We start from the raw sequence: 20,687 nt of genomic DNA on the forward strand, positions 1-20,687 counted from the left end.
TAAAGAATGTCCTGTTGGCAGAAAGAAAAATGATACACGGGCCAGGTGTGGTGGCTCACGCCTCTAAATCCCAGCACTTTGGGAGGCTAAGGCAGGCGACTCATTTGAGGTCAGGAGTTCAAGACCAGCCTGTCCAACATGGCGAAACCCCATCTCTACTAAAAATACAAAAATTAGCTGGGCATGGTGGCGTACGCTTGTAATCCCAGCTACTCCGGAGGCTGAGGCAGAAGAATTGCTTGAACCTGGAAGGCAGAGGTTGCAGTGAGACAAGATCACACCATTGCACTCCAGCCTGGGCAACAGAGGGAGATTCTCTCTCTCATAAAAAAAAAAAGATACCATAGGAAAATCTGGTATTTAAAGAAATGGAGACCATAAAAATAGTAGTAATATAAGTAAATATATTTAAAAATTTACTTAGTATCCAAATTTTTTTTTACCAGAAACAACATTATTTAATGATAAAAAAGTCAATTTACCAGGAAGATATGACAATTATAAGAGAGAAATAGAAAACAACACAACAATAGTAGGAGATTTCAATATCCCACTACATCTATACACACACACACACACACACACACACACACACACACACATATTAAGTTCTGGGATACATGTACAGAACGTGCAGGTTTGTTACATAGGTATACACGTGCCATGGTGGTTTGCTGTGGCCATCAACCAGTCATCTACATTAGGTATTTCTCCTAATGCTATCCTTCCCCTAGACCTCCATCCCCCGACAGGCCCCGGTGGGTGATGTTCCCCTCCCTGTGTCCATGTGTCCTCATTGTTCAACTCCCACTTATGAGTGAGAACAGGCGGTGTTTAGTTTTTTGTTCCTGTGATAGTTTGCTGGGAATGATGGTTTCCAGCTTCATCCATGTCCCTGCAAAGGACATGAACTCATCCTTTTTCATGGCTGCATAGTATTCTATGGTGTATATGTGCCACATTTTCTTAATCCAGTCTATCACTGATGGGCATTTGGGTTGGTTCCAAGTCTTTGCTATTGTGAACAGTGCTGCAATAAACGTACGTGGGCATGTATCTTTATAGTAGAATGATTTATAATCCTTTGAGTATATACCTAGTAATGGTATTTCTGGGTCAAATGGTATTTCTGGTTCTAGATCCTTGAGGAATTGCCACACTGTCTTCCACAATGGTTGAACACAATGGTTGAATGAGTGAATTTACACTCCCACCAAAAAGCATTCCTATTTCTCCACAGTCACAACAGCATCTGTTGTTTCCTGACTTTTTAATAATCACCATTATCACTGGTGTGAGATGGTATCTCATTATGGTTTTGATTTGCATTTCTCTAACGACCAGTGATGATGAGCTTTTTTTTTTCATATGTTTGTTGGCCACATCAATGTCTTCTTTTGAGAAGTGTCTGTTCATATCCTTCACCCACTTTTTGATGGGCTTGTTTGCTTTTTCTTGAAAATTTGTTTAAGGACCTTGTAGATTCTGGATATTAAACCTTTGTCAGATGGATAGATTGCAAAAATTTTCTCCCATTCTATAGGTTGCCGAACAGACACTTTTCAAAAGAAGACATACAAGTGGCAAATAAGCATATGAAAAAATGCTCAACATCACTAATCATTAGAGAAGTGCAAATCAAAACCACAATGAGGTACCATCTCACACCAGTCAAAATGGCTACTATTAAAAAGTCAAAACAACAACAACAAAACAGATGCTGGCAAAATTGTAGAGAAAAGGGAACACTTTTCTGGTGGGAATGTAAATTAGTTCAGCCACTGTGGAAAGCAGTTTGGTGATTTCTTGAATAACTTAAAACAGAACTACTATTCGACCCAACAATGCCATTACTGGGTATATACCCAGAGGAATATAAATTACTCTACCATAAAGACACGTGCATGGTTATGTTCATCGCAGCACTATTCACACAGCAAAGGCATGGAATCAACCTAAATGCCCATCAATAGCAGGAAATGTGGTACATATACACCATGGAATACTATACAGCCATGAAAAAGACCGAGATCATGTCTTTTGCAGCAACATAAATGGAGCTAGAGGCTATTATCCTATCTTAACACAGGAACAGAAAACCAAATACTGTGTGTTCTCACTTATAAGTTGGAGCTAAATATTGAGTACACATGGATACAAATAATAGAACAACAGATATTGTGGCCTACTGGAGGGTTGAGGGTAAGAGAAGGGTGAATATAAAAAAAACTGCCTATCAGGTACTATGCTTATTACCTGGGTGATGAAGTAATCTGTACACCAAACCCTTGTGACACGCAATTGACCTATATAATAAACCTGCACATGTACCCGTGAAACTAAAAGTTAAAAAAAAAAACAGAATCATCAATAACTCAAATATTACAGGTAAGAAGTTTTAGGTTGCCACACCTGTTAAAAAACTCCAGTGAGCTGAGCTTAAGGCAGAAAATAAGAAATCCATGAAAGGGTAGTGAAAGAACAAGCTATAATTATCAACTTATGTCTGGGGCAGGATTAGGAGCTACAATAGCTATGTTTTCTGCTAATTATTTGCCTTTTTTGCTCTTCCTCTTTCAACTTACATAAATAATCATGACAGGAGCTATTCTTTTATGTAGCAAGTAGAAGTGTGAGCTACTTGATATCATGCCGCTATGATATAGTTCTTAATGGAACTTTATGTGTTCCCTGTATTAGAAATATGAATTAATCACTGAAAGAAGTGGATGCTGAGGGCAAAAGGTGTGTACTTCACCAGTTGACCTTTCCAGATCTACCTTCTATCCTTTTTCAGCTTGCTATGTGCTTCAGAATGTTTGACATCTTTTATGGATTATACCAAAAGGCTCCTTGTTCCCTGGCTTCTAATTGGAATACAATAGTGGGGGATCAGAAGGTGGGTGGAAAATGGGCTTGAGAAATATTTCTTCTCATGGCTTCCTTGCCTTCACATAGCCTAAGTCCACAGTTACTGCCTTGTGCCCTTAGCATATTTCTACCCTCTCCAGGTTCTAGTTCCCTCCTCTTGGTCATTCAGGCTTAGCGTTAGTTACAGCTTCTCACTCTTGCTATGTGTCACTATTCTTGGAATATGTCACTATTTCTTGCTGGTTTCCACAACTCCTATATTCATCTTTATGAAGATGTATCCTGATAAATATGATCCTTATGTTTCTAAAAGAGTGTGAGAAGGAGAGCAGAGCTCATATATTCTGCTTCATTGTACCCATGCTCTTCATTACCCATGTTAAGCACACATACAGGTGCACATGCCAACATACATGTAGCACCTAGCTCATAGTAAGTGATTCAGTAATGTCTATTTATTGATCATTTGATGATGCAGAGAGATTCAGAAGTACCAAAAGAAAAAGGACTTGAAGTAAGATCTGAAATAGACAGGTGATAATACACAGCATTATTAAAAAGGTAGATTTTACAAGGCTTATAAAATATGTGTGTTTCTCGGGGGATTTCTCAACCCTTAGGTGTCAAAGGACCAACCAGAAGGAAGCATATCCTCCTTCCGATTGCTCCACGAATTACTGTCCTTCTCCTTCTATGAAAGAAATGCAGGATGAAGGATAGAGGGTGTGTCTATGGATAAGGCCCAAGAATAAGAATCTTACCATATTTTTTATTAATTTTTAATTTACAATTGACATAATTATATATAGTTTGGGAATACAGTGTGATGTTTCAATGCATGGAAACACTGTATAATAATCAAATCAGGGTAATTACCATATCCATCACTTTAAGTCTTACCATATTTTAGATTCACAAAGAAGAGGGCTACCCAGCAAGTCTTCTTTAATAATATAAGTTTATTTTATCCAATATATTAAAATATTATTTTATTGTCATGCCATCCATATAAAATTACTAATGACATGATTTAAATTCTATTTTCATATAGGTGTGAAAATTTGAAATCTAATGTGCATTTTTTCTTCTTTTCAACTTTTATTTTAAAATCGAGGGTACACACGCAGGTTTGTTACAGAGGTATATCATGTGATGCTGAGATACGGAGTACAAATGAATCCATCACCCAGGTAGTGAGTAGGTAATAGGTAGTTTTTTTAACCCTTCCCCCTCCCTCCCATAATCTAGTAGTCCCCAATGTCTATTGTTCCCACCTTTGTCTTCATATGTACCCAATGTTTAGTTCCTACTTATGAGTGACAACATGAAGTATTTGGTTTTCTGTTTTTGTGCTAGTTCACTTAGGATAATGGTTTCAAGCTGCATCTATGTTTCTGCGAATGACATGATTTCATTCTATTCTGTGGCTGCATAGTATTCCATGGTGTATATGTACTTTTGTTTTCAAAGCAGGAGAAAGTTTATTAAAAAGCTTTAGAACAGTAAGGAAGGAAAAGGAAAGGAGGAAAAAGAAGGAAAGTACAACTTGGAAGGGGGCCAAGCAGGTGACTTGAGAAACCAAGTGTGCCAATGTACATTTTTAAAAATCCAATCCACCTGGGTTGATTCCATGTCTTCCCAGCAAGTCTTTGAAGTAGGAAGCCAAAAGGTTCTCTGAGCTCACTGTCAGTGTGAGATTCCAAGCCTTCATGGGAAATTCCTTGTGGCTACTTTCCTCAGAGCTGCCTTCACATCCTTGTTTCTCAGGCTATAGATGAGGGGATTAAGCATGGGAGTCACTATTGCATAGAAAACAGACACCGATTTTTCCTGCTGTTTGGAAGACTTGGGTGTCATGTAAGTGATAATTGCTGATCCATAAAAAAGTATGACCACCATGAGGTGGGAGCCACAGGTAGAAAATGCCTTGAGACTCCCCACAGTTGACTTCATCTTGACCACAGTTACTATGATACGGCCATAGGATACCAGAATCAGAAAAACAGGTATGAGGAGAATCACAACCCCCATAAGAAAAATGGCCATCTCTGATGCATGGGTGTCTGTGGATGCTAAGATCAATAGTGCAGGGGCCTCACAAAAGAAATGAGCAATGCTGTTACTGCCTCGGTAGGGTAGCCTCAGTATGAAGGTGGTGTCTACCACAGACACCAGAATGCCACTGGTCCATGATCCTGTTGCCAGCTGGACACACACTTTCCAGGTCATGATGTTAGGGTAACGCAGAGGATTGCAGATTGCAACATAGCGATCATAGGACATCACTGCAAGAAGGGCGCACTGGGTACACCCAAAAATGAGGAAAAAGAGAAGTCGAGCTGCGCAAAGTGTGAATGCAATGACCTTCTTTCTGGAAAGCAGGTGGACTAGTGCCTGAGGAACTATGTTGGTAGAGAAACAGAGGTCAGCCAGAGACAAGTTGCAGAGAAAAAAATACATGGGTGTGTGAAGTTGGGAGTCAACATGAACAAGGGAGATTAGAAGCAGATTTCCAAGCACAGTGACCAGGTAGACACCCAATAATACGATAAATAGCAGCTGCTCGGTGTGTGGCCCATCAGAGAGTCCCAGAAGGAGGAATTCTGTCACTTGTGTCTGATTTATCTGTCTCATAGTTTGTTGTCCTTTTCAGTAAGAAGTCACTATGTGCTAACCATAGACAGGCATACCTATAAAATTATATAATTCAGAAGTGCAGGCTTAGGAACTGCCCCAATTTCTACTGAAAATTTCAAGAACCCCCTTCATAAGATGATCATGTTTCTTTCATTGGAACATTTTCAGTGTTGTAAAACAAACTTTAAAAGATGTTGCATTCATTGTTGATGTCATCTGGCAAGAATAGATTTTTAAAATTATTTTTCTCACTCTGAATACCACACTTTTAATAATACAATATTAAATACAGACTGAGTTCATCTATAAAGTCCTGCCATTTAATTTCTGTTTGTTCTTAACTAAAACCCCTGAGTCGTAAGTGCTCTTGTCACATCTCCTCTTCCCCGCTTATGATAATATAGTTTTCTGTTGTATTTTCCGTGAAAGGACAGACACGAAGGTATAAGAAATCAGAAAGAGCCAAAGTACTGGTATGTTTTATTTAAGAAACTAACCTGTCTTACAGGAGCTGGGAAACCAAAGATTAACTCAGGATACCCTTGGGAATCCTATCTGAAGCCTCAGCTTGAGTTCTGTTCAGTCTCAACTGTGAATGAACTTCCAACATAACAGACACACCATCAAAACAGAATTTTCATTTTAAGCCACCAGCGTGACTAGTTTCATACTCAGCCCAAACAGCACTACTCCCCAGCTCTCTCTGCTAAAAATTATATGCATTATCTGTCCACTCCCCCCGCAAAAGTAAAAGTTCCTTTGAAAATAGTTTCCATGTCTTTTTCACCTCTGTGTCCTTTACGAGTCATAGCAGAGAACTTCATTTCATAAATGACCATAATTCATTAAACAAATAATAATTTGATCACATAGTTAAGCAGAGTCATTTAGAAGTTTTGCCAATATCCCTAGAGAGATTTGAAATAATAATCCAATTTTGTGGAGCTGTTCCAAAAAGAAGGGAAATAAATTTACTTTAAAGTGTAAAGTTTAAGATCCTATACACGGGTTGGGCTATCAATCCTTTAACTGTCTGGTGAAAGTATCTCAGAATAACGTTTTAAATACATCAAATAAAATGTATAGGATTACTAAGGAAACCAGTTATATCAAAATACAGTTATCGAAATAATTTTAGAAAACAGATTTGTAAACAGCAATATATGTGCTTCTTTATTAATACACTAAAATTTTGAAATGTAGTGGTGGGTCTAATAACCATCTTCATTTCAAAATAATGATGAGTTTAAATATTTGGAGATCTCTCCAACAACTGCAATACAATATAAAAATTCTTATAATTACTACTGCTGACAAAGTCATAAATACTTCTAATATTGGTGTGGGTTGGTTACTTGCATTCAAATTGGAAGGAAACATCAACTTTCAGTTAGGGGAAAATAAAAATAAAGAAGTAACATTTTACTCCAAGTTGCAGAACTCACTTGGGTTACAGGAATCCCCAGGAGATTTCTTAAAAAAAAAAAAAAGACATAATTACACCCTACATAATCTAGTAACAGAGTCTCAGCATCTGGATTGGTCTGTGAGTCAAAGAAATGAAAGATTTCAATTCCTAATTGGTCTTCAGACTAAAGTTGGAATTTGGCATTGGGAGGAAGGTCCCTTTGCACTTCTACTTAACTGTTTGGTGCTTTAGATTTTTAGCATTGCTCCCTGCTCACTTTGCAGGCAGAAGGCCTTAAGCAAACAGCTCAGTCCAACATGCATCACCTGTATGACAAAATCCAATTTATAACCCTTCCACCTTTGCCCACTACTGGTAAGCCATGGACTCTACACTCCTTTCCTCACTTCCTGGGATTTCTCCTGCAACATCTTTTCTCCAGACAGGAATGTAGCTGTCCTGGGCCAAAGTTACCACTAACAACCAATCTGGGAAAAGTTTGACCTAATTTCTTTTCTCTTCTCCACTTTTATTTTAACCACCAGAGGAAGAAGCCTGAAAACAATTTCACCTTACTGTTTTACTTTACAATGTACAGATTAATTACTTAAAAGGTTCTTTTTTAACTCAAAATACAGATTATTCTTTATGTTATTCTCCTCTTTTACACATCTAGGAAAATCTGTCAAAACAAAAACAGTCTCATATCAAATCATATAAATGTAATGGTTACACAATATTACCATTATATCAGGTAAATGGAGGTGTGGATGTTGATTCAATGGTAAAATAAAAACCAGTGCCACCAAACTCTAAAATCTTTGAAAGGATAAAAGCCTCTTACCTAATCCTTAAAAGGAACTCTATATTCCTCCTCAGTTTTGAAGATAAGTTACTTAATTTTAACATTTTGTTTGCTTAATTGTATTTTAAATATACATCAAATATATATTTTTCAGAACAAAAGAAAAAAATTAATAAATTGGACATCATCAAAATTAAAAATGTTTGTGCTTCAAAAGACACCATTAAGGAAGTGAAAAGACAACCCACAGAGTGGGAGAAAATTTTTGCAAATTCTGTATCTGATAAGGGACTTATATTTAGAATATATAAGAAACATAACCTGGTAATAAAAAGGCCAATAATATAATTAATAACTGGGCAAAGAATCTAAATAGACATTGTTTCCAGAAGAGGTATGCAAATGGCCAGTAGGCACATGAAAATATGTTGAATGTCATTAGCCATAAAGGAAATGCAAACCAAAACCACAATAGCATACAACTTTACACCTACTAGGATGGCTAGCAGGTTACCATATGAATCAGCCATCCCACCAGTAGGTATATACCCAAGAGAACTGAAAGCATATGTTGCACACAAAAACTTATACATGAATGTTTATGGCAACATTATTCATAATACTCAAAAAGTGCAGTGATCCAAAGACAAAAAGTGAAATGTCTTTGAATATATAAAGAAAAGGTGATATATCAGCTGGGTGTGGTGGCTCACGCCTGTAATCCCAGTACATTGAGAGACTAAGGCAGGTGTATCACTTAAGGTCAGGAGTTCGAGGCCAGCCTGGCCAATGTGGTGAAACCCCGTCTCTACTAAAAATACAAAAATTAGCTGGGCATCATGGCACATGCCTATAGTCCCAAATAGTTGGGAGGCTGAGGCAGAAGAATCATTTGAACAGGGTAGGCAGAGGTTGCAGTGAGCTGAGATCACTCCACTGCACTTCAGTCCATGTGAGAGAGAGAGACCCCACCTCAAAAACAAACAAACAAACAAACAAACAAACAAAACGGTGATATATCCATATAAAGGATTGAACATGGTACAACATGAATAAACCTTAAAAACATTATATTAAGTGAAAAAAGTAGTCACAAAGGATGACATATTGCATGATTTCATTTATATTAAATGTCAAGAACAGGCAAATCTATAGAGAAAGAAAGTAGATTGGTTGTTGCCTAGGGCTGGGGTTATAGGAGGACTGGATGATGATGACTAAGGAATGTATGGTTTCTTTTTGGAGTAACGAAAAACTTCTAAAATTGATTGTGGTGATGGTTGCATAACTTTGTGAATATTCTAAAAGCCATTGAATTATACACTTTAAATGGTAAGTTGTGTGGTGTGTCCAACATGCATCGCCCAAATGTATGGTAATAGTAAGTCTCTTTCCAAACACCCTCAAGCCCAATACCCTTTCCATTAGTAACCATAGATCACAGGTTGGTATACATCTTTCCAGATGTCTATTAATTCAAATTAATACACACACACAACACACAAACACAAATGCATATGTGTATGTACATGAGTATGCACACTTTTGTAGTTAACATATGATTTAATGACTTAATTTTCCCAACAATCGCTATTATCTTGGAGACACTTCTTGACCAATATATATAGCTATACCTATGTCTTGCTATTGATTTCATTATATTCCACACTACAGTTTAACTACAGTTAAACTACAGTTAAACCAAAACTTAGTTAACTATTCTCTTATTGATGAACATTAATATTGGGGCCAATTTATGCTACCACAAACAATTATGTTATGAACATTCCTATACATATATTGTTTTTCACTGTTACCAATATATCTGTTAAGGTAAACTACAAACATTCGAATTGCTAGGTACGAGCTTTATCCAAGATGGAATATATAAGGGTAGGCATATCTTTACTTTTGATAGATGCTGCCAATATCTAAAAACTGTAGTGCCTAGCAGTTATAGAAGTGCCTACCTTTATTTCAAGGGAAATCAACTCATTCAATAACTGATAAATAAAACATAATTATGAATAATTACATCTCTGCTTGATGATTACTTACGGCCCCACACTGAATATAGATAAATTCCACCCTCCCGTATCCATCTGCAGGCAACCTTACCAGCCTTATCCCATACCAACTAACTAGAACACACTGCATTTTTACACCCCACTGTTTTTTGCTCCGCATAGTCCCTCTACTCAAAGACATGCCCACTAAATCAAGGTATCATTACTTTCCTTGGGCACCCATCATACTTTGAATATTCAATCAATCTTATTTTTTGAGCAAATACTGTGTACCAAGCATATGCTAAAGACTGGGGATACAGACTGAAAACCCAGTTCCTAACACTAAAGAACTCCAGAGGGGAGGGGCCAAATTGTTTCATCCCCAGTGCCTACAGTGGTCCTTGGAATATCATAGATTCACAGCCAATATTGGTTTAAGGAATCTATATAATCTATCACATCAAACTAATAGAGAATTGCTTCTAAAGAGAAAAATAGTGTATTATCAAAACAGCTGATATAAAAATAAATTTCGAGAATACAGGTAATTTAAACATTGCTACATTTTGAATTGCCGTCCATCTGGTGGAAGGTGCTACCTGGTTAGTTCTTAGAGGCTCCGGGATTTGGTTCAGCTCAGGATCTTTAGACTCAGTACTCTTTCTGCCACAATTTTCACTCTTCTTAGAGTAGAATTTTTTTTTTTTTTTAGAATTTGATTACAACTGTATCAATAATGTATCTAAATCTCAAGGAAAATTAAATGATAGACAAACAATCTTTCTCAGTTTTGACAAAAGAAGATATTGAGCATAAAACTAAGCATTCTTCACAAAATTTAAAGTGATGACTACAATCAGTGGTTAATTTAATGAAAGTGAAGTTACAGGATATTGCTATGATTTCTATCCCTTCTTCATCTGGCTCATAACCATAGCCAGACGAATTTTTTAAGATTCTGTCTAGGAAAAATATACTCCAGAAACAATCCCACAAACTTTCCCTATTCCTACCTCCAATACACACGGACATACACACACCAATACACACACTCACAAACAACTAATCTATCTTAGATGCACAAGTATACCTACAGCATCTTGTACTTACCTCCATCACAGCTCTTAACAAATTATATTAAAATTATTTGTCTTTCTCTGTGACTGTAAGATAGTCAAGGGTAGAGATCACATCTGAATCATCTTTATTCACAGAAAATAAGAGCAGTCATCATACATTATAAGTGTCCAACACATGTTTCTTGAACTGATTTGACCTGAGCCAAAGTAGCAAGAGACAGAGAGGGGAATGTAAGGAAGAGATGAGTGTGATTTATGACTTGTCAGATGCTAGGAGTTCTCACTGACCCTGGGATTATGCACTAGAAGGCAGCACGCCAATCTCTCCTGATTTTTCTTTAAAAATGTTATTCTCCCATGCAAATGTAGAGGACGAAATGTTCCTCCAGGTGACATTGAATCTGCTCCCAGGGTCAAGAAGCTCCTATAAGAAAATCATGTTCACTGTCAACCTTTCTGCCATTTCATTTTACTTTTTTTCTAGATTTAACATACATTTGTGAGTTCATTTCTATAAAAATAAAATATGTCACTGGATATGGAAAAGGAAGACAGGGTCACAGAAACATGCATTATCTAACCTGATGTGAATTTTAGGAAGAAGAGACTGAGTAAACCCCTAAGGCACCAAGAGAAAACTACTAAATTTCTCTTCTGATTCCAAGATCCTTCACACTTAAAATCCTCTATTCCTTATCATCCATACCTATTTACTTTCTTCCAAATCAAGTTCAACAAGGCAAGAAAACACTACCCAAAGGAACAATACTGACTCCATGAAAATTCTGCCTATATCTACATAAGGTGAGTGTCAGGATTCTTCTTCTCAGGTAATTTTGCATTGTAATTGTGGTTTGATAAGGTAGATCCACTGTGGAATAAAACCTTGGCTAAATCTATTACAGAAGATTTAGCTCTATGAATCAGATTATTTGGACAAAATTAGTTGAATTTTAAAAACCAAATCTATGACAATGTTAAAACCAATTCACTCCCAATATATCAGTTATCCCTTCTTTGTTCATCTCATGCTTTATCTTCCCCCACCCTCTAATAATCTTACCAATATTTTGTCCTATGATGGAGAAAGATCAAATTGGCATGGAAAGCCAATAAAGACACTCCACTATTGATGGGAAAGTGCTTCAGGTGCACTGGAGGCAGCATGGGCAGAACACGGACAGCAGGGATATTTTCATAAAAGCAAAGGGCTCAGTAGAATCTCCAAAGTCAAGAACAAAGCAGGAAGGGGAATCCCCACAACTCCCATGTCCTTCTGCTCCAGCCAAAGGTCTTATCATGGACTTCACAGTATATTGTGCAACAATAGTTCAATTTAAATGAGGTGAACAGCAGGGATACTAGAAGCAGTCTCTGGAGCAGGTGAAGTGCTCAGGTGAATTCTGAATCATTAGGGGGGATCTTGAGCTGTGCTTCCTCTCAGAAGGTTCCCAAATGGTTATAAGGAGGGCAGAAAATAACATGCAGTTAGCAGTCACATCTCTGTTTACAGGTCCCATCATGAATTCTTACATGTCTTCTCTTTGGAGAAGCATTGTATTGTTGCAATTAAGTATTTGGTTTCTGAAGGAAAAAATACTAGGTTGCAACTTAAGTCTACTCCATACACCGTATAATTTTGAGAAAGTTCATCATTTGTAGATTATGAATGTGATGTGACCTAGATAATAATAATTAGATGAATGTGATTAACATAATGTATTCATGTAGTAAGAAGTCAATAAATACTCTCTCTGATTATTATAACTAGGGCTACCGGATTGAGATTATAAATAGGTATCTGAGTTTTGGCATTGTTCAGGAAATGTATTATACAGAAATGAATCCTAAATTGCCCAGAAAGAAGAGAGGCTGAAAAACCTTCAAGTACTCTGATTAGCTTTTTAAAATTCCTCCAAAGAGTATCTGAAGCCGTGTTGGGCATGAGTGGAGGGAGTGGAGATGAGGGTCTGAAAAGAAGAGAGCCTCTGGCAGAAACCCCACTCTTTCAGTTGCAACTCCTGAATGACTATCCTAAGACAAAAAGCCAACTGAACATGGACCAGCTCTCACAAAACATGATTGAATAGGATATTCTATCAGGTCAAGTTTGTCAATGGATGGTTAAAAATCTTCATATCTTTACTGATTTTTCTGTCAGTTTGTTTTCAAAGTTACAAAGGGAAGTTCATCAAAATACATGTGTAAATTTTATATTTGGTAAACTTTTGTTATTTTATAATTTTGTATTTAAAAATAATTTCAAATTTTCAAAAAAGTTAAAATTGTACAAAACTCCCATACCTCTCTTACTCCTATTCTCCAATTATTATTTTGTCACATTTTTATCATTTGTCTGTATTTACAAACATATCATTTTAAGAACTTGATAGTAAGCTATAGGTGTGATCCCCAGAATATAATGAACTACTAAAAATGAATAAGAAAAGTTGGAAATTTCCAGTTTTTTAAAATGGGCAGAAGACTTGAACAAGCACTTTCAATATAGGAGATAAAAATAACTAATAAGCACATGAAAAGGTGTGCAACATAATTAGCCCTCAGGGCATATAAACAAAAACCATAGTGAAATTCCACTAATCCTCATCAAAAAGGATAAAATGACTGAGCAATTTACATTGCTTATGGGAGCATAAATTCTTAGAGTCAATTTTAAAATTCCATTTGGAAGTATCTTTGAATACAGAGCTAAACATGCCTTCCCTATGACTCAGTAATTCCACTCCTGAGCATATACCTAACAGAGATGAGTGTTTACATCCACCAAGAATGTATATAAAGATGTTTATAACAGCTTTATTCATACTACCTCACACTGGAAACTATAAATTTATATGGGCAATAGAAAAGATAAATTTTGGTACAGTCATGCAGTGGAATACTATCAAATAATTTAAAATAAATGAACTACTGCTACAAATAACCATATAGATGAATCTCACACAGTGATGTTTTAGTAAACAAAGCCAGGTGGCACTGTTGCAAAAAATAAAAGACTAATAAACAAATAGAAGAGAATGAAGACCTCATAGATTGACCCATGTGGAAATCGAATATACAATGAAGTTCAGTCCAAAAATCATCACGGAAGGGAAAATAGTTTATTAAATAATGTTAGTAAAGTGGGTTTACTACATAGAGAAAAATAAAGCTGGACTCCTACCTAACATGATAGAAGAAGGTAAACTGTAAATGAATTAAATATCTAAAAGTTGCAAGAGAACAATGACACAATTGAATAAAACATAGAACATCTTTCTGACCTAGAGTGAGAAGCTTCTAAAGCACAAACCATAATAATAATTTTGATAATGTGATTTCATAAAAATCTGATATTTGTCTTCAATGAAGGACATCATAGACAAAACTAAAAGGCAGATGAGAGAATCGATAAGATATTTGCACTCTTTAAAACCAAAAAGAAATAAAAATCTAATACCAGGAATTTACAATAAACTTCTAAAAACCAATAAAAGAGGAAGAAACCTCCAAAAGAAAAAAAGAGCAGAGGTAATAAAAAGGGAATTTATTAAAAAGTAACTTCATTGGGCTACAAGAATATAAAGCAATACTCAAATTCATCAATAATCAAAGGTATGCAAATTAGAGCAACAAAGATATATCTAATAGGCATGCAGATATTCAGAAGTCAGATACTGTAAAGTGTTGACAAAAAAGTAGAATATAACACTCATTTACAGTTGGGAAAGATGTAGAGAAATGTAGCCACCCTGGAAAGGAATCTGGCAATTACTTGGTCACCTTATACTTGCTTATTCTGTTACAGTCACTATTGTTAAAGATAGAGCCAAAAAATTTGTGTTGCAGACATATATGGTACACTCCTGAAATGTTTGTTGGTCTGTTGTTTGTGTTGGTGAGGTGTTGTGTAATTTGGATATTACTTTACTCACCGGGAGAGAAGATGAATGAAAGTGTGACAGATGTATACCAAAGAAGATCCCACAGCAGTTAGAAAGAGATTAGATACACACGTGCAACTTGAATGATCTTAAAGACAGAGGTGGATGGAAAAGTGAGAAACAAAGAGGCATATAGCAAAATATCATTTATGTAAATTAAGAATACAGGCGCAAAAATGTCATTTTTCAAAAACAAAATAAAAGTATTGCATACCTTAGAATGGTTACAGGATCAGTAGGAATCAAGTTTGGGTGTAAATTAAGCAAAAAAAAAAAAACAGTAAATAAATAAATAACAAGAGAGGGGCTTTGAAATGACTTTGAATGCACAGCAATGTGTCATATACTGAGGTATTATTATTCACTCATTCCTCTGCATCTGATAATCAAACAAACAAACAACAACAACAAGAGTAATGAAGAGAAATTAAGATTGCATGATATTTGTATGGAAATATAAAGTCAGAAAAGGAACAGATTACAGGAAACAAAAATAGACTGAATCCAGCAGAAGTTTAGTATCTTGTATAAAACACATTTAAAATCACTGAGACATTTTCCCATAAGTGGTACTAACAGAGCATTTTAGGAAAACATCTAAGGTGGATTTCTATCTTACTCATTACATCAAAACAAATTTTAGATGCATAAAGAGGTAAATGAAGCCATATATGTAAGTAACCTAGGAAAATCTTAGAAGAAAAAAATGGGTGGTTTTTAAACAGCATAACTTTTAAAAACAGAAGCCTTTCAAATATTAACAAAAAATCATAAGGGTAAAGACTTCTTGATTTGCTTAGATTAAATTATAAAATATACATGTGATGCAAAAATACAGAAAGTCAACTGGAAAAATACAAAACAACTTATTTCCAAGGTAAAATCAAAGAGCTATTTTTTTTTCATGTTATTCAAGGATTTTTCAAAGCACTAAAGGAAAGTTGAACAGCCCAATTTAAAAAAAATGAACAAAGAAAATAACCAGTCACTTCACAGAAAACAGAAATGAAAATGACCAGCAAACATAGAATATTATACGCATCCTCAAGTATAAAGTATCACATAATATAACAATGAGATGCCATTTTTACATAAAAGACTAGTGAAATTAAAGAGTTTGAAAATATCAAATGTTAGTAAAGATATAACTAAATAGAACCTGTCTTTGATGGGAGTGTAAATTAATGCAACCTTTTAATAGGGAAGTTGGCAATCTATTGATATTTAAAAGAAATATATCTTTAGACCCAGAAATTAAGCCTCAAGAAACTTTTCCTTCATGTATGTCTGACAAGGGCACAAGCATGCATATTTAAAGACGTTCACTGTGGCACTGTTTTAATGTCTAAAGATTAAAAATAACCTTTGTTAGTCCATTTACATTGCTATAAAAGAACACCTGAGGCTGGGTAATTTATAAAGAAAATAAATTTGTTTTGGCTCACGGTTCTGCAGGATGTACAGGAAGCATGGCACCATCATCTATCTGCTCCTGGTGAGGGCCTCAAAAAGCTTCCACTCAAGGCAGAAGAGGGAGGAAGCATGTCATAAAGGGAGATAAGGAGCAAGAGAGAGTGGGGAGGCAACGTCAACTCAGAGTGAGAACTCACTCATTATGCGGAGGAGGGCACCAAGCTATTCATGAGGAATCAGCCTCCATGACTCAAACATCTCCCATCAGGCCCCATCTCCAATATTGGGGATTACATTTCAACATGTGATTTGGAGGGGACAAAACAGCCAGACCACATCATAACACAAGTGTCCACTAATATGGATTAATAGACACTTGGGTAATATTATGGACTATAGCTCAATTATTTTAATGAGTTAGGTTTATATGTGCTATGAAACCAAAAATAAGCTGCAAATAATGTATGAGCCAAGTTACAAAACCAATAAAACAAGAAGATTCAAATTAATAACATCTACTTAATGTGATGAGTGATGTTTTGCTGAAACTAAATTGCCATTTGAAATATGATTGAGAGATTGACTTCAGACCATTTTTTTGAACCTCACATGGCTATACTACCATCTAACTCAGGTCTTCCACCATTTTTCTCTTACATCTTTTGGCCTTTAGAGCAGCAGTCCCCAACCTTTTTGGCACCAGGGACTGGTTTTGTGAAAGGCAATTTTTCTACAATGAACTGGTGAGAATGGTTTCAGGATGACTCAAGTGCGTTATATTTGTTGTGTACTTTATATTATTATTATGTTGTAAGATATAATTAATTATACAACTCACCATAATGTAAAATCAGTGGGAGCCCTGAGGTTGTTTTCCTGCAACTAGACAGTCCTATCTGGGGGTTATGGGAGACAGTGACAGAGCATTAGGCATTAGATTCTCATAAGAAGCATGCAGCCTAGATCCCTCACATGTGCAGTTCACAATAGGACTCATGCTTCTATAAGAATCTAATGCCGCCGTTGATCTGACAAGAGCCCGAGCTCAGGTGGTTATGTGAGCGATGGGGAATAGCTGTGAATACAGATGAAGCTTTGCTTGCTCAACTCCTGCTGTGCAGCCCAGTTCCTAACAGGCCAGGAATTGGTACCAGTCCATGCCCCATGGACTGGGGACCCCTGCGTTAGAGGATATGGATGTAATATTTAGATATAAAATTTGCCTTTGTTTTGAATGTTATTAGCTAGAGAGAATTATAGGAATAATTCCATTTTGATGAGGTCAAAGCAAGTTCTTGATTTAATGGTTTAACAAACTGAAGTCTCATTCTACAAAACTGTACTTTGATGTGAATTATCCCCTCAAAAGAAAAGCTCTAACTTTATGTCCAGTAAAAGCATGCAACTTTATTATAAGAACACATTTGGAGGGTGGAGCCAAGATGGCCGAATAGGAACAGCTCCAGTCTACAGCTTCCAGCGTGAGCGATGCAGAAGATGGTGATTTCTGCATTTCCAACTGAGGTACCAGGTTCATCTCACTGGGGAGTGCCAGACAGTGGGTGCAGGACAGTGGGTGCAGCGCACCGTGCATGAGCGGAAGCAGGGCGAGGCATCGCCTCACCCGGGAAGCGCAAGAGGTCAGGGAATTCCCTTTCCTAGTCAAAGAAAGGGGTGACAGATGGCACCTGGAAAATCGGGTCACTCCCACCCTAATACTGCGCTTTCCCAACAGGCTTAACAAATGGCACATGAGGAGATTATATTCTGCACCTGGATCGAAGGGTCCTACGCCCACGGAGCCTCGCTCATTGCTAGCACAGCAGTCTGAGATCAAACTGCAAGGCGGCAGCGAGGCTGCAGGAGGGGCGCCCGCCATTCTCGAGGCTTGAATAGGTAAACAAAGTGGCAGGGAACCTCGAACTGGGTGGAGCCCACCACAGCTCAATGAGGCCTGCCTGCCTCTGTAGGCTCCACCTCTGGGGGCAGGGCACAGACAAACAAAAGGCAGCAGTAACCTCTGCAGACTTAAATGTCGCTGTCTGATAGCTTTGAAGAGAGTAGTGGTTCTCCCAGCACACAGCTTGAGATCTGACAACGGGCAGACTGCCTCCTCAAGTGGGTCCCTGATCCCCAAGTAGCCTAACTGGGAGGCACCCCCAAGTAGGGGCGGACTGACACCTCACATGGCTGGGTACTCCTCTGAGACAAAACTTCCAGAGGAACGATCAAGCAGCAGCATTTGCGGTTCACCAATATCCGCTGTTATGCAGCCACCGCTGCTGATATCCAGGCAAACAGGGTCTGGAGTGGACCTCCAGCAAACTCCAACAGACCTGCAGCTGAGGGTCCTGTCTGTTAGAAGGAAAACTAACAAACAGAAAGGACATCCACACCAAAAACCCATCTGTACGTCACCATCATCAAAGACCAAAGGTAGATAAAACGACAAAGATGGGGAAAAAACAGAGCAGAAAAACCGGAAACTCTAACAATCAGAGTGCCTCTCCTCCTCCAAAGGAACACAGCTCCTCACAAGCAACAGAACAAAGCTGGACAGACAATGACTTTGATCAGTTGAGGGAAGAAGCCTTCAGAAGATCAAACTACTATGAGCTAAAGGAGGAAGTTCGAACCAATGGCAAAGAAGTTAAAAACCTTGAAAAAAAATTAGACGAATGGATAACTAGAATAACCAATGCAGAGAAGTCCTTAAAGGACCTGATGGAACTGAAATCCAAGGCACGAGAACTACGTGACGAATGCACAAGCCTCAGTAGCCGATGCGATCAACTGGAAGAAAGGGTATCAGCGATGGAAGATGAAATGAATGAAATGAAGCGAGAAGAGAAGTTTAGAGAAAAAAGAACAGAAAGAAATGAACAAAGCCTCCAAGAAATATGGGACTATGTGAAAAGACCAAATCTACATCTGATTGGTGTACCTGAAAGCGACGGGGAGAATGGAACCAAGTTGGAAAACACTCTGCAGGATATTATCCAGGAGAACTTCCCCAATCTAGCAAGCCAGGCCAACATTCAGATTCAGGAAATACAGAGAACGCCACAAAGATACTCCTCAAGAAGAGCAACTCCAAGACACATAATTGTCAGATTCACCAAAATTGAAATGAAGGAAAAAATGTTAAGGGCAGCCAGAGAGAAAGGTCGGGTTACCCACAAAGGGAAGCCCATCAGACTAACAGCTGATCTCTCGGCAGAAACTCTACAAGCCAGAAGAGAGTGGGGGCCAATATTCAACATTCTTAAACAAAAGAATTTTCAACCCAGAATTTCATATCCAGCCAAACTAAGCTTCATACGTGAAGGAGAAATAAAATACTTTACAGACAAGCAAATGCTGAGAGATTTTGTCACCACCAGGCCTGCCCTAAAAGAGCTCCTGAAGGAAGCACTAAACATGGAAAGGAACAACCGGTACCAACCACTGCAAAAACATGCCAAATTGTAAAGACCATCGAGGCTAGGAAGAAACTGCATCAACTAACAAGCAAAATAACCAGCTAACATCATAATGACAGGATCAAATTCACATATAACAATATTAACTTTACATGTAAATGGGCTAAATGCTCCAATTAAAAGACACAGACTGGCAAATTGGATAAAGAGTCAAGACCCATCAGTGTGCTGTATTCAGGAAACCCATCTCATGTGCAGAGACACACATAGGCTCAAAATAAAGGAATCAAGATCTACCAAGCAAATGGAAAACAAAAAAAGGCAGGGGTTGCAATCCTAGTCTCTGATAAAACAGACTTTAAACCAACAAAGATCAAAAGAGACAAGGCCATTACACAATGGTAAAGGGATCAATTCAACAAGAAGAACTAACTAACCTAAATATATATGCACTCAATACAGGAGTACCCAGATTCCTAAAGCAAGTCCTTAGTGACCTACAAAGAGACTTAGACTCCCACACAATAATAATGGGAGACTTTAACACCCCACTGTCAACATTAGACAGATCAACGAGACAGAAAGTTAACAACGATATCCAGGAATTGAACTCAGCTCTGCACCAAGCAGACCTAATAGACATCTACAGAACTCTCCACCCCAAATCAACAGAATATACATTATTTTCAACACCACACCACACCTATTCCAAAATTGACCACATAGTTGGAAGTAAAGCACTCCTCAGCAAATGTAAAAGAACAGAAATTATAACAAACCGTCTCTCAGACCACAGTGCAATCAAACTAGAACTCAGGATTAAGAAACTCACTCAAAACTGCTCAACTACATGGGAACTGAACAACCTGCTCCTGAATGACTACTGGGTACATAACGAAATGAAGGCAGAAATAAAGATGTTCTTTGAAACCAACGAGAACAAAGACGCAACATACCAAAATCTCTGGGACACATTCAAAGCAGTGTGTAAAGGGATTTACAGCACTAAATGCCCACAAGAGAAAGCAGGAAAGATCTAAAATTGACACCCTAACATCACAATTAAAAGAACTAGAGGAGCAAGAGCAAACACATTCAA

The 20,687-nt window shown here is 37.4% G+C and overlaps 1 protein-coding gene and 1 long non-coding RNA gene across 4 annotated transcripts in view; both read right to left on the reverse strand.

The window, feature by feature from the left end:
• Window positions 1-4,578: 4,578 nt before the first annotated feature.
• On the reverse strand, window positions 4,579-5,505 carry OR2D2 (olfactory receptor family 2 subfamily D member 2). The gene has a single exon (NM_003700.1). The coding sequence runs from the start codon at window positions 5,503-5,505 to the stop codon at window positions 4,579-4,581; it is 927 nt and encodes a 308-aa protein (NP_003691.1).
• A 5,412-nt stretch (window positions 5,506-10,917) lies between these two features.
• LOC107984019 (uncharacterized) overlaps window positions 10,918-20,687 on the reverse strand; it is a 49,559-nt gene continuing 39,789 nt past the window's right edge. For all 3 annotated transcript variants that reach the window (XR_001748111.2, XR_001748112.3, XR_007062575.1), the window contains exon 4: window positions 10,918-11,233. This is a non-coding gene — a long non-coding RNA (uncharacterized LOC107984019). The remainder of the gene's footprint in view (window positions 11,234-20,687) is intronic.

This window comes from Homo sapiens, chromosome 11 (assembly GCF_000001405.40).
Source record: "Homo sapiens chromosome 11, GRCh38.p14 Primary Assembly".
Taxonomy (NCBI): Eukaryota; Metazoa; Chordata; class Mammalia; order Primates; family Hominidae; genus Homo; species Homo sapiens.